Source organism: Homo sapiens, chromosome 7, assembly GCF_000001405.40.
Source record: "Homo sapiens chromosome 7, GRCh38.p14 Primary Assembly".
NCBI classification, from domain to species: domain Eukaryota; kingdom Metazoa; phylum Chordata; class Mammalia; order Primates; family Hominidae; genus Homo; species Homo sapiens.
The window spans coordinates 156,882,999-156,904,323 of NC_000007.14; the positions used below are offsets into that span (position 1 = coordinate 156,882,999).

Here is a 21,325-nt window from a genome sequence, read left to right on the forward strand (position 1 = left end):
CTAGCCTGGGCAACAGACAGTACGAGACTCTGACTGAAAAAAAAAATTTTTTGTTAAGAGGGTAGATCTCACATTAGGTATTCTTACTGCAATACAATCAAGTTTAAAAAAGAAGGACAGGGCCATGCATGGTGGCTCACACCTGTAATCCCAGCACTTTGGGAAGCCAAGGCAGGCAGATCACCTGAGGTCTGGAGTTCAAGACCACCCTGGCCAACAGGTGAAACCTGTCTCTACTGAAAATACAAAAATTAGCCAGGTGTGGTGGTGCACACCTGTAATCCCAGCTACTTGGGAGGCTGAGGCAGGAGAATTGCTTGAACTCGGGAGGCGGAGGCTGCAGTGAGCCAAGATCATGTCACTGCACTCCAGCCTGGGCAACAGAGCAAGACTCCATCTCAGAAAAAAAAAAGGAGGACAGAATAGGAAGACATGAAAAATTATCTCAAATGTAATTAGAATGTCCCAGTTTCCTTTAACCTCAAGTACACAACTATGGAGTGGTAAGATATACAGGGACAGCAGTGAAAGTCAAAGCCTCCTGATGAAGGAGTAGGAATCTCCTATGGCTGCTGTAACCAAATTACACAAACTTTGTGACTTAAAACAACACAAATTTATTGAGTTTCACTGGGCTAAAATCAAGGCGTGAGCAAGGTTGCTTCCTTCTGGAGACTCTAGGAAAGAATTCATTTCCTTGACGTTTCTAGCTTCTGGAGGCCGCCCACACTCCTTGGCTCATGGTCCCTCCTCCTTCCTCAAAGGGCATCACTCCAACTCTGCCTCTGTCATCACATCTCCTCTGACTCTGACCCTCCTGCCTCTCCTATAAGGACCCTGTGACCACATAGAGCCCACCTGGATAATTCAGGGTAATTCTCCTTTAACATACTCACATCTGCAAAATCCCTTTACCCATGTAAAGTAACACACCACAGGCTCCAGGGATTACCACATGGATTACCAACTTCAGGGGCCATTATGCTGCCTACCGCAGAGGGGAAGCTGATTTAACCCAGTTTAGAAAAGTCAAATACAAATGAAACCTCTATACCTCTATCCCATTCCTTTTTGCTCTTCTATGTTAGAAAATCACTTCAACTTATGTTGGCTATTGGATTTGTTTCTAATACATCATTCCACTAGAAGACTTTACAACCACGTGAGAAAAAGAAATGCAGCCCCTGACATCTGGGAGCTGGCCTGGTAATATCACAGCTGGGCCTTGGTGTTGCTGTAAACTGGCTAACAACTCAGAGCAAGGCACACACCTAGGCCTTGATGACTGACTCTTCTGCTGAACATCAACAATTTCAGAGAACATCAATATCAGACAAGACCATGATGGATAAAGACTAAACAAGACCACTCTGTAATCACTCCTGAACACAAGCAAAAAAAAAAACATGAACATTGTCCAAATCACAGAAATGACCAACTCTCTATCCTGGCTAACAGGAATGACTGTTGCTTCTTTACCAGTTACAGCTTTAGCTTTATTCCAGTCTTCTTTCCTTCTAGAAAAGATTTCTTAAGCTATCCAGTTACAGAATTTTTCCAGCTTCCTAACAGCACCCCATACAGATCAAAGCCTCACTTCCTTAAACCCTTCCCAAACTACCTAGTAGAAGCCCAAATCCCATTTGAAAAGTTACTGAAACACCCCACAGTTCCCCATGGAACTCACTGAAATATGCAATAAGCCCAATTTGTCCAACTACAGGTGTGCTCTTGGAGGTCTTTCACTGGAGGGCAATGACAAAGGTCAGAAGACTACAGACTCCAAGATAACTGCATTCTGAACTTACATACAAGATTGGTGATTGGTTCCCACCTTCTGCCCAACCACTATTCCCAAGTGGGAAGGACTAAAGTTTTTTATCTCCTGCATAAAGGGTAAGCCATAGAGTTGAGGGCAAGACACCAGTAGAAAACAGCAGGTAAACTCATCTAGAGAGGCAGTAGATGAAGGATACTTCTATCCCCATTATCTCCCCACCTCCCATTTGGCCTAAAAGGAGCCAACTAAATGGGAAGGTTCTAAAATCTCTGTTGTGTAAGTCCCAGTCTGGCTGGGCACGGTGGCTCATGCCTGTAATCCCAGCACTTTGCGAGGCCGAGGCAGGGGCGGATCACCTGAGGTCAGGAGTTCAAGACCAGCTTGGCCAACATGGCAAAACCCCATCTCTACTAAAAATACAAAAATTAGCCAGGCATGGTGGCAGGCGCCTGTAATCCCAGCTACTTGGGAGGCTGAGGCAGGATAATCACTGGAATCTGGAAGGCGGAGGTTGCAGTGAGCCAGGATCGCTCCACTGCATTCCAGCCTCGGTGACAGAGCGAGACTCCGTGTAAAAGAAAAAAAAAAAAAAGTCCCAGTCAACCCCAGACTTGGTTCCAAAAATATTCTAGCCAAGAGGGGAGCTTAAGCCATACCCAGGATAAGGAAGAATTTAGATTGCGCAGCCAGGCCAGGCATGGTGGCTCACACCTCTAATTCTAGCACTTTGGGAAGCTGAGGCAGGAGGATTACTTGAGGCCAGGAGAGTTCAAGACCAGTCTGGGTAACACGGAAATAACCCGTCCATACAAAAATGGCCAGACGCATTGACTCACACCTGTAATCCCAGCACTTTGGGAGGCCAAGGCAGGAGGATCACTTGAGGTCAGGAGTTTGAGACTAGCCTGGCCAACATGGTAAAACCCTGCCTCTACTAAAAATTCAAAAACATTAGCCGGGCATGGTGGCAGGCACCTATAATCCCAGCTACTGGGAGGCTGAGGCAGGAGAATCACTTGAACCCGGGAAGCAGAGGTTATCGTGAGCCGAGATTGTGCCACTGCACTCCAGGCTGGGTGACAGAGACTCCATATCATAAATAAATAAATAAAATTAGCCAGGCATGGTGGTGGCACCTGTAATCCCAGCTACTCAAGAGGCTGAGGCACAAGAATTGCTTGAACCCAGGAGGTAGAGGTTGCAGTGAGCTGAGATAGTGCCACTGCACTCCAGCCTGGGTGACAGAGTGAGACTCTGCCTCAAAAAAAGAAAAAAAAAAAAAAAAAGACTTCCTTCAAGTAGGAAGATCTCTTGAGCCTGGGAGATAGAGGCTACAGTAAGCCGTGTTTGTGCCACAGCATTCCAGCCTGAGTGACGGAACCACACTCTGCCTCAAAAATAATTTTGTAAAGAGTCACAGCCTACAAGGTGGCAATCCTGATAGCTGGGAAGCATCCTCCCGCAGAGCACAGAAACAGACCTTCAAGGGAGGATAGAACAGGGATTTATGCTGAACGGGTTGGCCAAGTTTATATATTTAACAGGTTATAGGAGGAGCTATGAATATTCACAAAGTGGGGGAGGTCATGCACATGCAGGCTGAATAAACATGTATGTTACATACTTATCCATATTCACTTGTGGGTGGAGACTTAACATCTAAAAGGATTACAATGAGGCCCTGTAGTCAGATGGCGAAGCAGGGACATGAAGGCACTGAAGTGCACAGCCTCTGTAAACTGGCCAGAACCAGTTCATGCTCAGTGCTCTTATCAGGAGAAAGTTACTGAAATCAGTCTCTTGTCCAATCAAAGCTATAGTTATGGCTTGTGGAACAGGAGAGTGGGGATCACTTAGGGTCTGGCAGTGAGTGAGCTGCAGTTATCTTAATATTGCTTATCTGGAGGCCAGTGCTTGTTTAGCCGCTAGAAAAAAAGAAACACCTTGAGGCAGTTAGAACCAGTTTATTCTTTAAGGGGATGCTTTACTTAACCCTTGCCTGGCATGGCCCTACATTTTGTTCACAGTTGGGTATTTTATTGCCACAAAGAGTCTGTTCTCTCAGTCTTCAGATCTCTATTTTAACATTAATGCTGGTCAGCTGTGTTTAAACCTCAAAAGGGAGGGGGTATACTGAGGCGTGTCAGATGTCCCATCCCATTCTGGTTGGGAATTCAGTTTTTAAGGTTTCCTGGGGTCCCCTTAGCCAAGAGAGGGTATACTCAGTTAGCTGGCAGCCTTAGGATTTCATAGCTAGCTCTCAAAAGAAAGGAAATCAATCATTACTACCTGATACTAATAGCCAAAGTCAAATATGATCACTAAAGCAACTGACAAGAGAACTATGAGATATTCATAATACAAAAGACAAAATTATTACATGAGTATTTAAAAGTTAAACACTAGGCTGGGCGCGGTGGCTCACGCCTGTAATCCCAGCACTTTGGGAGGCCGAGGCGGCAGATCACGAGGTCAAGAGATTGAGACCATTCTGGCCAACATGGTGAAACCCCGTCTCTACTAAAAGTACAGAAATTAGCTGGGTGTGGTGACGCTCGCCTGTAGTCCCAGCTACTCGGGAGGCTGAGGCAGGAGAATTGCCTGAACCCGGGAGGCGGAGGTTGCAGTGAGCCTTGAGATTGTGCCACTGCACTCCAACCTGGCGACAGAGTGAGACTCCATCTCAAAAAAAAAAAAAAAAAAAAAAGTTAAACACTATATTGTACAAAAAAATTAATTCAAAATGGATCAGACCTAAACCTAAGAGCTAAAACTATACAACTCTTAGAGGAAAACCTTCATGATGCCAGTTGGTGATGATGCCAGTTGGTGATGAATTCTTGGATATGACACAAAAAAACACAGGCAACAAATGAAAAAATAGATCAATTGGACTACAAAATTAAAAACTTTTGTGCATCAAAGGACACTAGCAATAGAGTAAAAAGGCAACCCTACAGAATGGGCGAGAAGTGTTTGCAAATCACATGTCTGATAAGGGGTTAATATTCAGAATATATAAAGAACTCCTAAAACTAAACAACAAAAATCAAGCAACTCAATTCAAAAACAGGCAAAGAACAGATATTTCTCCAAAGAAGATGTCCATATAGTCAATAAGCACATGAAACAATGCTGAACTTCACTTATAATTAGGGAAATGCAAATCAAATCCAGCATCAGATACCATTTCACATCCATTTTAAAAAAAAGAAGAAAAACAGAAAACAATGTGTGTTGGTGAAGATGCGGAAGAACCAGAAACTCTGGCTCCTTGCTAGTGGGAATATAAAATGGTACAGCCTCTGTGGAAAATGGTATGGCAGTTCCTCAAAAAAATTAAACATAGAGGCCGGGCGTGGTGGCTCACGCCTGTAATCCCAGCACTTTGGGAGGCTGAGGCGGGCGAATCACGAGGTCAGGAGATCAAGACCTTCCTGGCTAACATGGTGAAACCCCGTCTCTACTAAAAATACAAAAAGTTAGCTGGGCGTGGTGGCGGGTGCCTGTAGTCCCAGCTACTCGGGAGGCTGAGGCAGGAGAATGGCATGAACCGGGGGGGCGGAGCTTGCAGTGAGCCGAGATTGAGTCACTGCACTCCAGCCTGGGAAACACAGCGAGACTCTGTCTCAAAAAAAAAAAAAAAAAAAATTAAACATAGAATTATCATATGATCCAGCAATTCTACTTCTGAATTGAAAGCAGGGACTCTAATAGATATTTGCATACCCATGATCACAGCAGCATTATTCACAATAGCCAAAAACAGAAACAACTCAGGTCAATTGATGAATGAATGGGTAAGCAAAATACAGTATACACAAAAAGAAAATATTATTCAGCCTGAACAAATTCTGGGCCAGGCACGTTGGCTCCCGCCTGTAATCCCAGCACTTTGGGAGGCCAGGGTGGGTGCATCACTTGAGGCCAGGAGTTCAAGAACAGCCTGGGCAACATAGCAAAAACCCCATCTCTACAAAAAATTAAAAAATGAGGCCAGGCACAGTGGCTCACACCTGTAATCCCAGCACTTTGGGAGGCTGAGGCAGGTGGATCACCTGGGGTCAGGAGTTCAAGACCAGCCTGGCCAACATGGTGAAACCCATCTCTACTAAAAATACAAAAATTAGCCAAGTGCGGTGGCGCATGCCTGTAATCCCAGCTACTCGGGAGGCTGAGGCAGGAGAATTGCTTGAACCAGGGAGGGAGAGGTTGCAATGAGCCGAGATCACGCCACTGCACTCTAGCCTGGGCAACAGAGAAAGACTCTGTCTCAAAAAAAAAAAAGAAAGAAAAAGAAATTTTGACACATGCTACAACACAGGTGAACTTTGAAGGCATTATGCTAAGTGAAATAAGCCAGATAGAAAAGGACAAATATTGTATGGTTCAACTGGGAATAGTCAGATTCATATAGGCAGAACCAGCAGCTGGAGAGAGTGAAGAATGGAGAGTTACTGTTTCATGGGTATCAAGTTTCAGTTGATGAAAAAGATCTGGAAATGGATAGTGGTGGTGGTTGCACAACAATGTGAATGTATTTAACGCCACTGAACTGTATATTTAGATATGGTAAATTGCATGTTATATATATATATCTTATTATGATAAAAAAGTTAAGCAATTATAGCATTATGTAGCAAAATCAGAAAGAATTGAATAATTTTAAAAATTGGCAACAGGTCTTAGAGAAAAAGTATTTACATTCACTCTAAATATAAATCATTTGAGAAAGAAATGCCAAAGACTGGGAACCCTGAGCCTGGTCACTGTCTGCGCTGGTTCTGTAGAAGATGGAGTAGACTCAACCAGCCAGGGGTACTGGGTTGAGGGAAACAGGTGAGGAGAGTCAGAACTAAAGAACTCCATAATCGGTACCAAAACCGTTTTCAGGGGAGTAGACGAAGCTCTGGACTGTTTTACAATGTGTCCCTTTCTCAACCCAAATTCTAGAATATCTAATTAATTAAAAGTAAAGCCAAAGAGCAGGAGGATCACTTGAGCCCAGGAGACAGGTCTGGGCAACACGGTGAGACCTCACCTCTACAAAAAATTAAAAGATTAGCTGGGTCTGTTAGTGCACACCTGTATGATTCAAGCCTGTAGTCCCAGCTACTTGGGAAGCTGAGGTGGGAGGATCGCCTGAGCCTTGGAAGTCAAGGCTGCAGTGAGCCATGATTGCGCCACTGCACGACAGCCTGGTCAACAGAGGGAGAACCTGTCTCAAATTTTAAAAAATAATAAAACTAAAGACAAATAGACCAATAAAACCACATAAAGTCCAAAATTAAACCCTATGAATATACAGTTACCTATCTGTGACAAAAGTCCTAAATAGTGCTGAAGCAATTGGACATTCCTGTGGGAGAAAAAAATATGACTCCTACCTTGCACCAGACACAAAAAAATAAATTCGAAATAGATTGCAAATTTAAATGAGAAGAGTAATTCAATAAAGCATTTAGAGAAAAGAAGAAGAGAACATCAGTCTTAGAGTAAGGAGAGATTTCTTAATCGGGACATTAAAAGTACTCAAAAAAATTTTAATAAATTGAACTATATTAAAATTAATAATTTCTGTTCATCAGAAGATATCATTAAAAGTGAAAGGCATCCACAGAGTGGGAAAGAAATATGTGCAGTATATATTTCTGACAAAGAAATCATATCCACCTGTATAACAATATAATACAAGTTATTCTGTAAAGACCTTGCAAATCAATATTAAAAAGATAAACTTAATTTTTAAATGGGGAAAAAAATTTGACCCTTCACAAGATTTCCAAATGGCTAATAAACAAACAGGTGCTCAAATTCATTAGTTATCAGGAAAATGCAAATTAAAATTATTTGTATGATGAACACTATAACACACTTGCTAGAATGACTAAAATTAAAAAGGACAGAAAATATCAAGTATTGATAAAGATGAGTAACAACCACACCTCTGAGACTGTCAGTACTGGCGGAAGTGTACACTGGTACAACCACTTTGGAAAATTGTTTTAAAGTATCTACTAAAGATGAACAAATGCACACTCTTTAACCTAGGGATTCCATTCCTAGGGCTATCCCCAACAGAAATGCACAAACATGTCCACCAAAAGCTATGTACAAAAAGTTCATAGCCAGCCCGGCGTGGTGGCTCATGCCTGTAATCCCAGCACTTTGGGAGGCCAAGGCAGGTGGATCACCTGAGGTCAGGAGTTCAAGGCCAGCCTGGCCAGCATGGAGAAACCCCGTCTCTAATAAAAATAGAAAAATTAGCTGGGTGTGGTGGTGTGTGCCTGTAATCCCAGCTATTCAGGAGGCTGAGGTAGGAGAATCACTTGAATCCCGGAGGCAGAGGTTGCAGTGAGCCGAGATTGTGCCACTGCACTCCAGCCTGGGAGACAGAGCGAGACTCCATCACAAAAAAAAAAAAAAAAAAAAAATATATATATATATATATATATACACACACACACACACACACACACACATATATACATACACATATATATACACATATATATATTCATAGCCAAAACCTAGAAACTACTGAAGTGCCCATCAACAGTAAAATGAAAAATAAATTGTGCTATAGTCACACAACTACTGCACCGAGAATGAATTATAACCACATACAACATGGAGAAATTTCACAAACATTGTACAAGAAACTGGACACAGAAGAGTATATACGGTAAGATTCCATTTACATAAAGTTCAAAACTAAGCAAAAACTAATCTATGATATTAGAAGCCAGGGCAACGTTTACCCTTGGTGGAGGAGAAAGTAATTGGAAGAGGGAAAGGAATCAGTCTCTGGGATCCTAGTAAAATTGTGTTTATTTATTTATTTTTTTATAATGGTAGAGATGGGGATTCACTATGTTGCCCAGGCTGACCAGTCTCAAACTCCTGGTGGATTCAGGAGTACACAGGCGTGTTTAGTATGAAATGATCTGAAGGGTACATGTATGATTACATGAACTTATCTCTGTGTATTTTAGCTTCAATTATAAAAATTACAACTAAATGTGTACCAAATTCCACTAACTCAAATTCCACCAGCTCAGACTTTATATGTCCTCTTTATTCAAAGTATGACTTCCAAAGTGATTCTCAATTTTCAAGATCAGTGAGTACACAAATTAGATAATTCTAAAGCAGAATTTTTTCACCTCAAACCAAGTGTGACTGAATCGTAGACAACTTAGGAGAGGCGTAAATATAAACATAAAAAATTGACATATTTTACAACAGTTATGAAAACACAGATAAACCCAATTACAATACATTCTAGAGCATCATGAAAAGATAAAAACATCAAAGTAGACTTTCCAAGGTCAAGTCCGCTTCCTGACTCCTGCCAACAGCACACATGGAACATGGGCCAAAAAAGAAGCTGCTTCCCTAAGAAGTTGCTTCCATAGCAAAATGGACTTTTGCTGAGGTCCTCACTCCCAAAAATAACCAATATTCTCATCCCAAACGGTAAGGTTTCGAACTCAACCCACGTGGGGGCTGGGGGAGATGAAAGAGGGATGGAAACGTGAGGCGCCAGGAGGGCAGGAGGTGTTGACCGGGACAAGGTAACCGGCCGGGTCCAAACGCGAGAGGCGGGCGGGCTCCGCGCAGCCCGGCCCTTCCCGGACCCGCCGGGCCCACCCAGGCTCTCCGGGACGCCTGCGCATCCACCTGCCTACCTGGCCTGGCGGCGGAGCGCGGGGGCGCGCACTGGCGGGGCCGCCGTCCACACCCCGAGGCGCGAGCCGCACACCCGCCCAGAGAGGAAGCCCCTGGGGTCCCAGAGCGCGGCGCGCACCGCAGCCCTCCCCGCGGGAAGGGAAGGGCAGCACCGAGGCCGCGGGGCGGGGGCGGGGTCGGGGCTCGAACGGAGGGAGCGCGAGGGGGCAGGGGAGGCAAGAGCGGAGCGGGGGGGCAGGCAGAGGAAGCGAAGGGGAGGGGAGGGGAGAGGAGAGGTGGGGAGGGAAGGGGAGGGGAGGGGAGAGGAGGGGTGGGGAGGGAGAGCGGCAGAGGCCGGGGCGGGAGGCGCGAGGCGAGGCCCGGAGGTGAGGGGTCCGGGGACCGGGGGCCCGGGGGCGGGGACGGAGGGCCCGGGCGGGCACGCGGGACTGTCAGGGCTGCCTCGGTCCCCACGCACCGTGGACTCCCGCACTTGGCTGTGGAAGTGCTGCTCCCGCGCCGACACCTCGTCCTGCCCTTCCATCCTCCTTCATGCCCGCCGCCGCGCCGCCCGCGTCCGCGTGCTCCGCCACACCATCGTCCGCCCGCCGCAGGGGCTCGGACAGCCGCGCCGGGGACCGGAGCCGGCACGGGCCCGCGAGCCGTGTTGGAACAGGTACCGCGACCACGACACCGGCCGTCGCCTCAGCAGCCTCAGACGAGCAGCTCTGACTAAGGGAGGGCGGGCGCCGCGCAGTCGGGGGCGGGGCGGGGGCGGGGCAGGGAGGGGAGGGGGCGGTGCAGGCATACGTCAGACGAAAGGCGCCGATGCGTCAGAAAAGCGCGCCTCGCGGTCTTCCGAGCTGCTGGGCCGGGAGGCGCTGAGGGGGCGGGGCCTTGAGGTCGCGGGGCGGGGCTCCGCCCACGCTCTCAGGGGCTACCCCAGTTAAGGAGGCGCTGTCCTGGCGTCGGATGGGGACGGGGAACGCGGCGAGGGCGCTGCGACCTCTGCCCACCTGGCCCGGCCGCAGTCTCGGAGTTCCTGTTCCTCACAGGAGCTAATTATTTATGACAGCTGCATGGTTCCCCTCCCCCAGTTACTCAGTGCTTGGCACTCGGCACCCCTTACTCAGCACTCAGTACCGCACTCGGCCTCAGGGGACCTGGGCAGAGGGAAGCAGGGAGTCTCCCGCGGAAACTCTTGCTCTGCCAAAGTAGGTTGAAAGGTCGGAAATCGGTGGTTTGGGGCCGGGCTTTGGGCGGAAACCCAGCTTCTCTGGGTCTGAGAAGGGTCTTGGGCTGCCCCACCTGGAAAACGCAGATAACCGAGCTCGCTAGACCCTTGCCAAGTCCTTCCGGTAGCTCGGTCACTAGGGTCAGTTTTATGACTCTCAGTGGACCCTAAACAGCACGTAATATATGTATTTTTCACCGCCAAATATATCAAACACAATAATTCACCCTCCGTTCCCTATTATCTTTCTTTTTGTTATAAAATTTGAATTTAAGGGAATGTTTATAATTTTACCTTAGGATTTATTTGGCTACGAGGAAGTCATTTAAATTGCTAGTGGCTGCGATTTTTGTTTTTGGCATCTTTGAGAATTCTTAGGAAGTGTGAAAATCTACAAATTGCTTTCAAATGTCATTTAGTTTTTGTTTTTGTTTTTTTTTTTTTTGAGACAGAGTTTCACTCTTGTCGCCCAGGCTGGAGTGCAATGGCGATCTCTGCTCACAACAACCTCTGCCTCTTGGGTTCAAGTGATTCTCCTGCCTCAGCCTCCCGAGTAGCTGGGATTACAGGCGCCCGCCACCACGCCCAGCTAATTTTTGTATTTTTAGTAGAGACGGGGTTTCACCACGTTGGCCAAGCTGTTCTTGAACTCCTGACCTCAGGTGATCCGCCCACCTCGTCCTCCCAAAGTGCTGGGATTACAGGCCTGAGCCACCGCGCCCGGCCGTTGTTTAGATTTTTATGAATCTAAATTTAACAGTCAATGAAGTTGTTGTAAAGTTCTTCAAAGACAAATATGTGGTAATTTAAACCTTGCCGTTTCTCTTCACAATTTTGAGTAGAGAAAATTTTTTCACAACTCAAACTTCTTATGGTGCTTGGCGAAGTTGGAGGCCCCGACACACGGTTTCTATGAGTTCACTATAGCTGAACATTGTGGTGGTGGGAGAACTTAGAGAACCTGAGGCTTGTTCTCAGCATGTGCCCTGCTGCCACAGGCTGATTGATCATAATCCAAGAACAACTGTCAACTGGTTAAATTCAACGTTCACCTTTATTTTTTAGAATGTCTTGGAGCCCTAAAGAACCTGGATAATTTCTGGGTTAATTCTCTCCAAATCAGAGGGCAAGCAGATTAGATTTTAAAGTGTATGGCATTTAAACACAGATTCCAGAAAGTGAATGCATGTAGTATTCCTCATCTTTTTAATGCAATACTCCAACCATCTAGACCTTTTGATTTTCTTTTATGCAATCATCCCTAGAGGTTTACCCACCACTGGTACTTGTAACACTTAACCCAGGGTAGTCAACTTCAACAATGGCCACGTACTCACCACTCCCTATACGCTCACCCTCTGCCATCTGGCTTTGTCCTTCCTCCCAGCAAGAAATGGACTCTACTTTCCAGCCCTGGAATCAGCCTGGCTGGGTGACCTGCTCTAGCCAGTGGGACATTGAAAAATACAAAACTATAGGAAAGTGCTTGTACATTAGGACTTGCCCTTTCTTACGGACCCTAGGGACCCTCAATGGCCACTGGCCACTGCATCATAAGCCCCAGCCCAGCTGAAGATAGGTGACCTGGTCACCTCCATCACCCCAGCCAACACCCTCTTTCCCACATCCCTAAACGCTGTTGTATAAGACCACATGGGCCATTGTAACGGCTTTGGCTTTTATTCTGGGAGAGGTTAGGAGCCACTGTGGGTTATTGACAGGTGTGATGTGATCTGACTGCTGCTCAGGGCCTGGACAGCAAATGAGGAAGACTTATTGCAGAAATTCAGAGCCTAGTGACCTGGACCAGGGTGGAGGCAGCAGAGGAGGTGAGAGGCGGTCGGTTTCTGAATGCATTTTGAAAGGAGGATTTCCTATCAGGATTTCCTATCACATGGGGATGTGGTCAGAAAAAGAGAAAGACAGGGAGGGCTCCAAGGCATCTGCCTTAGCAGCCAGAAGGACAGTTGCATCACCAAAGGGGGGGAAGGCTGCAGTTAGAACAAGTTTTGGAGAAAAGACACAGAGTTCTTAAAATGTGATGATGACACCTCCTGGCCACCAAGATATGCTGTGTGGATATGAAGTTTCATTTCATATCAGAAGAACATGGCTGGCAATAAACATTTAAAAATATGTTTCATCTCAACAATACCCAGGACATGCAAATTGAAACCTAAATGAAGTACCTTTTCACTTTCATTGGGTGGGCAAAATTCTTCTAATTTGACAATATTGAGTGTCACAAGAATGTGGAACAGTAGAAATTCTGTGCCACTGGAGGTCGTGTGAACCAATATGATATCTCTGTAAATAATTTGGCATTATCCAGTAAAGCTGAAGATAAGCAACTAGCAGTTGCACTCCTACCCATGTATCCTAGAAAAGCTCTTGAGCATGTACACCAAGAGATGTGAATGAGAATCCCCACAGCTGTGCCACTTGAACTAGCAGAAGTCTACAAATAGCCCAGCTGTCTATCCACGGTGGAATGGGTAAATAAACTGATATGTTCGTGGGACAGAATGCGATTCTGAAAAATTAGTGAACAATAGCTGCAAGCAGCAATACAGATGAATCTCTAAAACAAAGTGTTGACCAAAAGAAAGTACCAGAAGAAGACACACAGTGACTCCATTTAGGTAAAGTTCAAAACCACACAAAACAATATACTATTGTATTATTCCATTCTCACACTACTACAAAGATACTACCCAAGACTGGGTAATTTATAAACAAAGGAAGTTTAATTGACTCACAGTTCCACATGGCTTGAGAGGCCTCAGGAAACTTACAATCATGGCAGAAGGGGAAGCAGGCATGTTTTACATGGTGGCAGGGGAGGCGGGAGAGGGTGGGGGGGAAGTGAGGAAGTGGGGAAGAGGGGCAGGGAGGTGGGAAAAGAGGAGGGAAGAGGAGATGGAGGGAGGAAAAGAGGAAGAGAAAGGGGGAGAAAGAGCAAGAAGGAGGAACTGTTAAACACTTATAAAACCATCAGATCTCATGAGAACTCAGTACCATGAGAACAGCATGTGGCAAACTACCCCCATGATCCAATCACCTTCCTCCCTCGACATATGGGTATTAGAGACCCCTTGCTTGGTGTTTAGGCTAACATGCTCCATTTAGCAAGGGGTCAAGTTGCGGTAGAGAACCCACAGTTTAGGCTACCAGGAAGTGGTAAACCCTCCACACATGGTGACTACAATTCGAGATGAGATTTGGGTGCAGACACAGAACGAAACCATATCAACTATTTGGGGATACAACCATGCAGTAGAACTATAAAGAAAAGCCAAGGAATGATAAAACTCAGAGAGGTCAGAAAAGGGATTGGTGAGAGGCATTCAAGGGCCACAAAGAGAATGATAATGCTCTATTTCTTAAACCAGAATGGAGGAGATCCACAACCCTATCTTGTATTGTTATTCTTTATACCTACGCATTATCTGTCATGCATAAACAGCATCTATTTAAAATTTAATAAAGTAACTTTCAAGAAGCACCACTTCCCGGTAGCCTAAACCATGGGTTCTCTACCTCAACTTAACCCCTCGCTAAATGGAGCATGTTAGCCTAAACGCTAAGCAAGGAATCTGTAAACCAGGTGCCAGTTCTGTGGTAAATTGCTGTGTGACCTTCCAGGTCTCTGTTCAATTAACAATGCCTGATGTTCCTTCCAGCACTAATATTGTGTTTGTTGTCTTAAAAATTAACTTGGAGCCGGGTGTGGTGGCTCACTAATGTAATCCCAGCACTTTAGGAGGTCGAGGTGGACAGATCACGAGGTCAAGAGATTGAAACCATCCTGGCCAACATGGTGAAACCCCATCTCTACTAAAAATACAAAAATTAGCCTGGCATGGTGGCACATGCCTGTAGTCCCAGCTACTGGGGAGGCTGAGGCAGGAGAATCGCTTGAACCCAGGAGGCAGAGGTTGCAGTGAGCCAAGATCACGCTACTGCACTCCAGCCTGGCAACAGAGCGAGACTCCGTCTCAAAAAAAAAAAAATTAACTTGGAAACTTTCCATGCAAACCCACGTTTCTGTTGGCATTTGTATGGGTTAGAGGGGAGGAGGCGATCATGAGCATCAGTTGCTTAGCGCCAAACCTGAGAGTCATCCTGAATTCCACACTTTCCCTAACAACGCACACCCCATCCATCAGCCAGTATTTTTTATTCTACCACTAAAATATGTCTGGAATTCAGCCACTCCTCCACACCGCCTTTGCCACTCTCCCGTTCCAACTGGCCTCATCCTTCAGTGGCCTCTGGGCTGGTCTCCCTGCATCTACTCTTCCCAGGCCCTCACCATCTTCTCCCTCCCATCATCCATCCCGTGCAATAAGTATGTAAATTAGTTGTGTTCCCCAACCCCAAGGCTTCCCATATCACTTACGCTCAAACTCTGACCCCTAACCAAGACCTGCAGAGACCATAGGACCAGCCTCTGCCCACCTCCCCAATCTTGTCTTCTGCTGGGCCCCCCACTGCCTTTGTACTGTGCCCTCTGCCCAGGATGCTCTCCCCAGAATCACAGCCGCCTCTCTCTCCTTACTCACAGTGTAAAGATTAATACTGTAGAGAGGGCGTTTTAGATCCTGAGCTGAGGTAGCACCTGAACCCAGCCCAGCTATGCCGGCTCACTTCACCTTGCACTGTCTTCAAGACAGGACCATAGAAGTTATTAACACATAGGGGCTGGGCTCATTGGCTCACACCTGTCATCCCAGCACTTTAGGAGGCCGAGACAGGCGGATTACGAGGTCAGGAGATCGAGACCATCCCAGCTAACATGGTGAAACCCCGTCTCTAATAAAAATACAAAAAAAATTTAGCCCGGCGTAGTGGCGGGCGCCTGTAGTCCCAGCTGCTCAGGAGGCTGAGGCAGGAGAATGGTGTGAACCCAGGAGGCGGAGCTTGCAGTGAGCCGAGATCGCGCCACTGCACTCCAGCCTGGGTGACAGAGCAAGACTCCATCTCAAAAAAAAAAAAAAAAAGTTATTAACACATAGGTAGGCTTTTTGTCTGCCCTAGTCATGGCAAAGACTTTATCCTGTTCACTATTTTTCCAACACCAAGCACAGTGCCGGGCACATGATAACAGGTTGATAAGCCTTTGCTGAATAAAGAGTCATACATGTAAATGGGGGGGGGGGGCGGTAGTGGGGAGCTAGCTTTTGCGGAATAACTACTGTATTCCAGGCACTTCCCATGCAGTATTTAATTTAACCATCACAGTGGCCCAGTGAAGTAGGTGCTGTCAGCTCCATATTACCATTGAAGACATTGAGGCTCAGAAAGGTTAAGCAACCTGACCTGGTTTGTACATCAAGATTTGAACCTAGATTCATTGACTTATTAACACCTGCTTTTCTCACAGTTCCATTGCTCTCTGCCATGCAATAAAACAAAAACAATTGCATCACCATGCATGACACATAGTAAAACATCCAGGTCCCTCTGTTGGAGATTCTGCCCTGACAACCCACCCCCCTTCCCCACTGAATTCTTCTGTAGTCCTGAGTGTGCTTGAGTATGTGCTTGAGTGGAGTATGCAACCAAGCATACAAATGAATCCAAGCTCACTCTCTGCCCCTCAAGTTTCGGGAATGGTGCATCAAGGCTCTCCAGAGGAATAGGACTAATTAGGGGGTGGAGGTGTAGAAAGAGAGGGTGGGAGAAAGATGTATTATGAGGAATTGGCCCACATGATTCTGGAGGCTGAGAAGTCCTAAGATTTGCAGATGGCAAGCTGGAGACCAAAGTATAAGTTCTAATTCGAAAGCCAGCAGGCTCAAGATCCAAGAGCTGATAGTTGAGTCTGAGGCCAAAGGCAAGAAAAGACCAATGTGTCAGCTCAAGCAGGAGGAGCTCCCCCTACTCAGGGGAGGGTCAGTCTCTCTGTTCTGCTGAGGACTTCAGCTGATTGGATCATGCCCACCCACATTGGAAGGGCCATCTGCTTTACTCAGGCCACCAATTCAAACATTAATCTCCTCCAGAAGCACCCTCACAGACACACACAGAATATTGTTTGACCAGCTATCTGGGCATCCCATGGCCCAGTGAAGCTGACACATAACGTTAACCATCACAAGTAGGGACCCCTGTTTTTATTCTCTTCTTAATAGGCTTGGGGAGAGGTTGGCCTCTCATGCTTCTAACTCATCAGCTGTTACCTGTGGGAGCTACTACCTACTCAGCATCGCTCAGGGCACTGCATTACGCCTTCCAGGCAATTATACAAGGTACTGCTTGAGCTTAAGCAAACTGAGAGAAGATTTAGCACACTTTCTAAAGGTAATATCATAAATAGACATTGATTCCAATCATTTTGTTTATTTTGAGATGGAGTCTTTCTGTGTCACCCAGGCTGGAGTACAGTGGCGTGATCTCGTCTCACTGCAACCTCCACCTCCCGGGTTCAAGCGATTCCCCTGCCTCAACCTCCCAAGTAGTTAGGATTACAGGCGTGCGCCACCATGCCCAGCTCATTTTTGTATTTTTAGTAGAGACGGAGTTTCACCATGTTGGCCAGGCTGGTCTTGAACTCCTGACCTCGGGTGATCCACCCACCTCAGCCTCCCAAAGTGCCGGGATTACAGGCGTGAGTCATCATGTCCAGCCTTGATTCCAGTCATTTTTATTGGCTCATGATACATCATCTTCAGTCATACATCATCTTCCTAAGCTTTACTTATCTATCTTGACTCTTTTTCTTCCAATTTCAACACACACAATTTAGGAGGGAAATGAGCCAAAATGGGGCAAGGCGAGAGAAGGAACAAATGGTCAACTGAACCTCTTTATGCCACAGAAGGAGCAAGACTGTCTATGGAGCAGTCAGGAACCACACATGTGTGAAGCCTAAAGGACCTTGGGGATCTCCTAGCCCTATTGCAACTAAGTCCCAGAGAAATTTAGTGACTTTCCTAAAGAGACACACGTTAGTGACCAGGGTAACCCAGACTTGCTGACTTCCAGCCCATCATTCTTCCCCTTGTTCCCCATTCCCACTAGAGGAGAACTTAGTGCCTTCCCAGCTTCTGAACCCACTCCTTGCCCCGGGTCCCCTCACCATCCTGGCTTCACTCTCCACTGGAGACTCATCCACACAGGGTCACAACTGCACTTTGTTGGAAGGAAACGGGTTGAAATACAAATTCCATGTGTTACACTCCAGCCTGGTGTCATGCCAGCTTTCATTTCTCAAACATTTTTGTTTTACCACCATTTTTAAGGCCATTCTGCCTTTCAAGCTTTTATCTTTTAGTTAAAATAACAAATATTTCTGAGCACTTAGTATTTGCCAGGCACTGTTCTTTTTTTTAATTTTTAAAAAATATTTCGTGTAGAGATAGAGTTTTGCCATGTTGCCCAGGCTGGTCTTGAACTCCTGGACTCAAGCAGTCGTCTTGCCTCAGCCCCTGAAAGCGCTGGGATTACAGGCGTGAGCCACTGCACCTGGCCTGTTTTTTTTCTTTTCTTTTCTTTTTTTTTTTTTTTTTGAGACAAAGTCTTGCTCTATTGCCCAAGCTGAAGTGCACTGGTAGAGACAGGGTTTCACCATATTGGCCAGGCTGGTCTTGAACTCCTGACCTCAAGTGATCCGCCCACCTCAGCCTCCCAAAGTTCTGGGATTACAGGCATGAGCCACCGTGCCCAGCCTTAAGTTATATTTTTAAAAGGTAATAAATGCTCCGACTCCATCATGTCCTGCTTGTGTTATTATACTTTACTCTTGAGGCCGCTTTCGTCAGCTGTAAAATGGTGTGCTCCTCCACCCTCAATATCGGTACATCTGGTAGCTAGAACTGGCCACAGTGGGAGTATTTACAGCACAGAAATCAGTCAATGATAACAAATCAGGGCCCCCTTCCCCTCCTTGAAGAGCTGGTTGTTAAGTAATTACAGCACACCATGGGAGCCAGCAACCGTTTTAGAAAGAGCCTCAAATGAAGATGTTCACACTGTGGGCTAATGTTGAACAACCAGATGATAAAAGGTGGAAATTGAGGAGACTGGACAAGACTCTCACCTGGTGGTTGGTCATCCCACGTGTCTGCAGAGGCGAATCAAGGGGATTACTAAAGGGAAAACAGGAATTTTTCTCAGGAAAACAGTTCTAAATTCATGAAAATACAATTAAGTTCAGAAACATCGATTACTTTTACACCAATCAGAAGTTCTTCTAGTCATACACATGTTTGTCGGTTTCTGAAAGGGGTGTGATACGGTTTGGCTGTGTCCCCACCCTAATCTCATCTTGAATTATAGCTCCCGTTATTCTCATGTGTTGTGGGAGGGACTCAGTGGGGGATAATTGAATCATGAGGGGGGTCCCCCATACAGTTCTCGTGGTAGTGAATAAGTCTCACAAGATCGGATGGTTTTATAAGGGGTTTCCACCACTGCATTCCAGCCTGGGTGACAAAGCGAGAATGTCTCAATAAATAAATAAATAAATGACAGAACCTACAAAGTGCAATGACACTGTAAAAGTTGGCTGTTAGTAATAGTATCAACGTCATCATCACCATTATTGTTATCATCTAAAAACCAAGATCTAAGCATGGATTATGCTAATATTTACAAATTGGGTTATATATGTATGCGATACTTAAACATTTTTTTTTTTTGAGATGGAGTCTCGCTCTGTTGCCAGGCTGGAGTGCAGTGGCACGATCTCGGCTCACTGCAACCTCCGCCTCCTAGGTTCAAGTGATTCTCCTGTCTCAGCCTCCTGAGTAGCTTGGACTAGAGGCACCTGCCAGCATGCCCAGCTAATTTTTTTTTTTTTTGTATTTTTAGTAGAGACGGGGTTTCACCATGTTGGCCAGGATGGTCTTGATCTCTTGACCTCATGATCTGCTGGCCTCGGCCTCCCAAAGTGCTGGGATAACAGGTGTGAGCCACCGTGCCCGGCCCAACATTTCTAAGGAATTCATGACAAACTTGTAACTTTTACACAGGGGATGAAAGACTAAAAGGATACTTAAAATGGAAGACAGGACCTTTACTTTGCAAAGAAATTCTGTGGCTGTCCTATCCATGAATCAAGATTTACAAGAACTAATCAGAGGAAATTGGTAGACACAAAACTGGAATTAGCTTGAGGAGAATTACAGGGTATCATGTGGAATTTAAGTCCACACATAAAAATAATATCACCCTCCTGAATCTTTCAGCCTTTTTCAATCTATCACCACTTCAACCTTCCGTGTCAGTCTCTGATTATTTTTTTTTTTTTTTGAGACGGAGTCTCGCTCTGTCGCTAGGCTGGAGTGCAGTGGCGTGATCTCAGCTCACGGCAACCTCCACCTCCGGGTTCACGCCATTCTCCTGCCTCAGCCTCCTGCGTAGCTGGGACTACAGGTGCCTGCCACCATGCCAGGCTAATTTTTTGTATTTTTAGTAGAGACGGAGTTTCACCATGTTAGCCAGGATGGTCTCGATCTCTTGACCTCGTGATCCGCCCGCCCCGGCCTCCCAAAGTGCTGGGATTACAGGCATGAGCCACCGCGCCCAGCCCAGTCTCTGATTTTAACAAGATTTCATCTTGGGACTAATGGTACAAATTTCACCCATCCCTAACTAACTCTCATTGAAATGTAGAGAAACAGATGATCAAGACTCTGCTAGCAGGAGAAAAAGAGAGAAAAGAGAGATGAAAAAGTCTTGTGTGACCAGAAGCTTATCAACCTTGTGTGCTGTTGGCTTACTTTAACATTTACAGCAGATGATAGAATTGTGTTCAGATGACACAATAAGGTATCAAATGACTTCACGAAAGCAAGACGGCACTGAACCCCAAGGTAAGAGATTGTACGGACATCATTTAAAGGTTTGTGTCCCCCCTTAAAGGTTTGTGTCCCCCTTTGGTAGTCCAGACATGAAAACGTCTAATCTGGGTGTGGCTCAGATACCACTCTGGAGTAGGCTAACTTTGTAACTCGAGCGCACAGAATGGCAGGAAGCAAAGCAACAGTCGGAGGAACAACCTGGGCCAACATGGCACGAGATCAAAGAGGAGAACAAGACGTGCTGAGCCCAGAGGGGGTGAGTCAGAGAGAGAAGAGGATGTTTTCTTTTGGTCACTGCAGACATAGGTTTTGTTGTGAGCACTACATTGTCTGAAAAGCCCCCATCCTAATTCTAGGTCTGCAAGCCAAGAAGATGGAGCAGGTTCTCGTGGGGCTCTGTCTCCAGAGACCTTGTGTGAGCTTGGTAATGAGAGGCCCAAAGCCAACATTTAGATAGTGCTGCTCCAGGAAAGGGAATTAAGGGCTTTAAAAATGGATGCTGAATTGCTTGAACCCGGGAGGCAGAGTTTGCAGTGAGCTGAGGTCACACCATTGCGCTCTGGCCTGGGCAACAAGAGCAAAATTCCGTCTGAAAAAAAAAAAGCGGATGCTGAGGCCAGGCTCACTGCAACCTCTGCCACCCGGGTTCAAATGATTCTCCTGCCTCAGCCTCCCAAGTAGCTGGGATTACAGACACCTGCCCCTACGTCTGACTAATTTTCTTGTAGTTTTAGTAGAGACAGGGTTTCACCATGTTGGTCAGGCTGGTCTTGAACTCCTGACCTCAGGTGATCCACCCACGTCAGCCTCCCAAAGTGCTGAGATTACAGG

At 46.1% G+C, this 21,325-nt stretch overlaps 1 protein-coding gene and 1 long non-coding RNA gene across 31 annotated transcripts in view, besides 3 other annotated features; one reads left to right on the plus strand and one right to left on the minus strand.

The window, feature by feature from the left end:
• LMBR1 (limb development membrane protein 1) overlaps window positions 1-10,185 on the minus strand; it is a 224,172-nt gene extending 213,987 nt beyond the window's left edge. For all 28 annotated transcript variants that reach the window (XR_007060137.1, XR_007060136.1, XR_007060135.1 and 25 more), the window contains exon 1: window positions 9,930-10,185. Coding sequence is in view for 11 of the 28 variants with exons in the window: in NM_001363412.2 (NP_001350341.1) it covers window positions 9,930-10,005 (76 nt within the window). In the remaining 17 variants the exon portion in view is untranslated. The remainder of the gene's footprint in view (window positions 1-9,929) is intronic.
• Window positions 9,277-9,776: a silencer, noted in NCBI's record as "silent region_18852". NCBI's record gives its function as "represses an Ori minimal core promoter by ATAC-STARR-seq in GM12878 lymphoblastoid cells {active_cell/tissue: GM12878}" and the evidence as "EXISTENCE:reporter gene assay evidence [ECO:0000049][PMID:35858748]".
• Window positions 9,827-10,406: a silencer, noted in NCBI's record as "silent region_18853". NCBI's record gives its function as "represses an Ori minimal core promoter by ATAC-STARR-seq in GM12878 lymphoblastoid cells {active_cell/tissue: GM12878}" and the evidence as "EXISTENCE:reporter gene assay evidence [ECO:0000049][PMID:35858748]".
• The window catches only part of LOC102723795 (uncharacterized), a 28,584-nt gene continuing 17,658 nt past the window's right edge, over window positions 10,400-21,325 (plus strand). The window contains exons 1-3 of one of the 3 annotated variants that reach the window (XR_428274.4): window positions 10,400-10,665; window positions 12,407-12,514; window positions 20,307-20,506. This is a non-coding gene — a long non-coding RNA (uncharacterized LOC102723795). Of the gene's footprint in view, window positions 10,666-11,355; window positions 12,515-20,306; window positions 20,507-21,325 lie in introns of those variants that run through there. The other 2 variants (XR_928253.3, XR_001745446.2) reach the window with 2 other exon arrangements.
• Window positions 12,709-12,788: an enhancer, noted in NCBI's record as "active region_26914". NCBI's record gives its function as "activates an Ori minimal core promoter by ATAC-STARR-seq in GM12878 lymphoblastoid cells {active_cell/tissue: GM12878}" and the evidence as "EXISTENCE:reporter gene assay evidence [ECO:0000049][PMID:35858748]".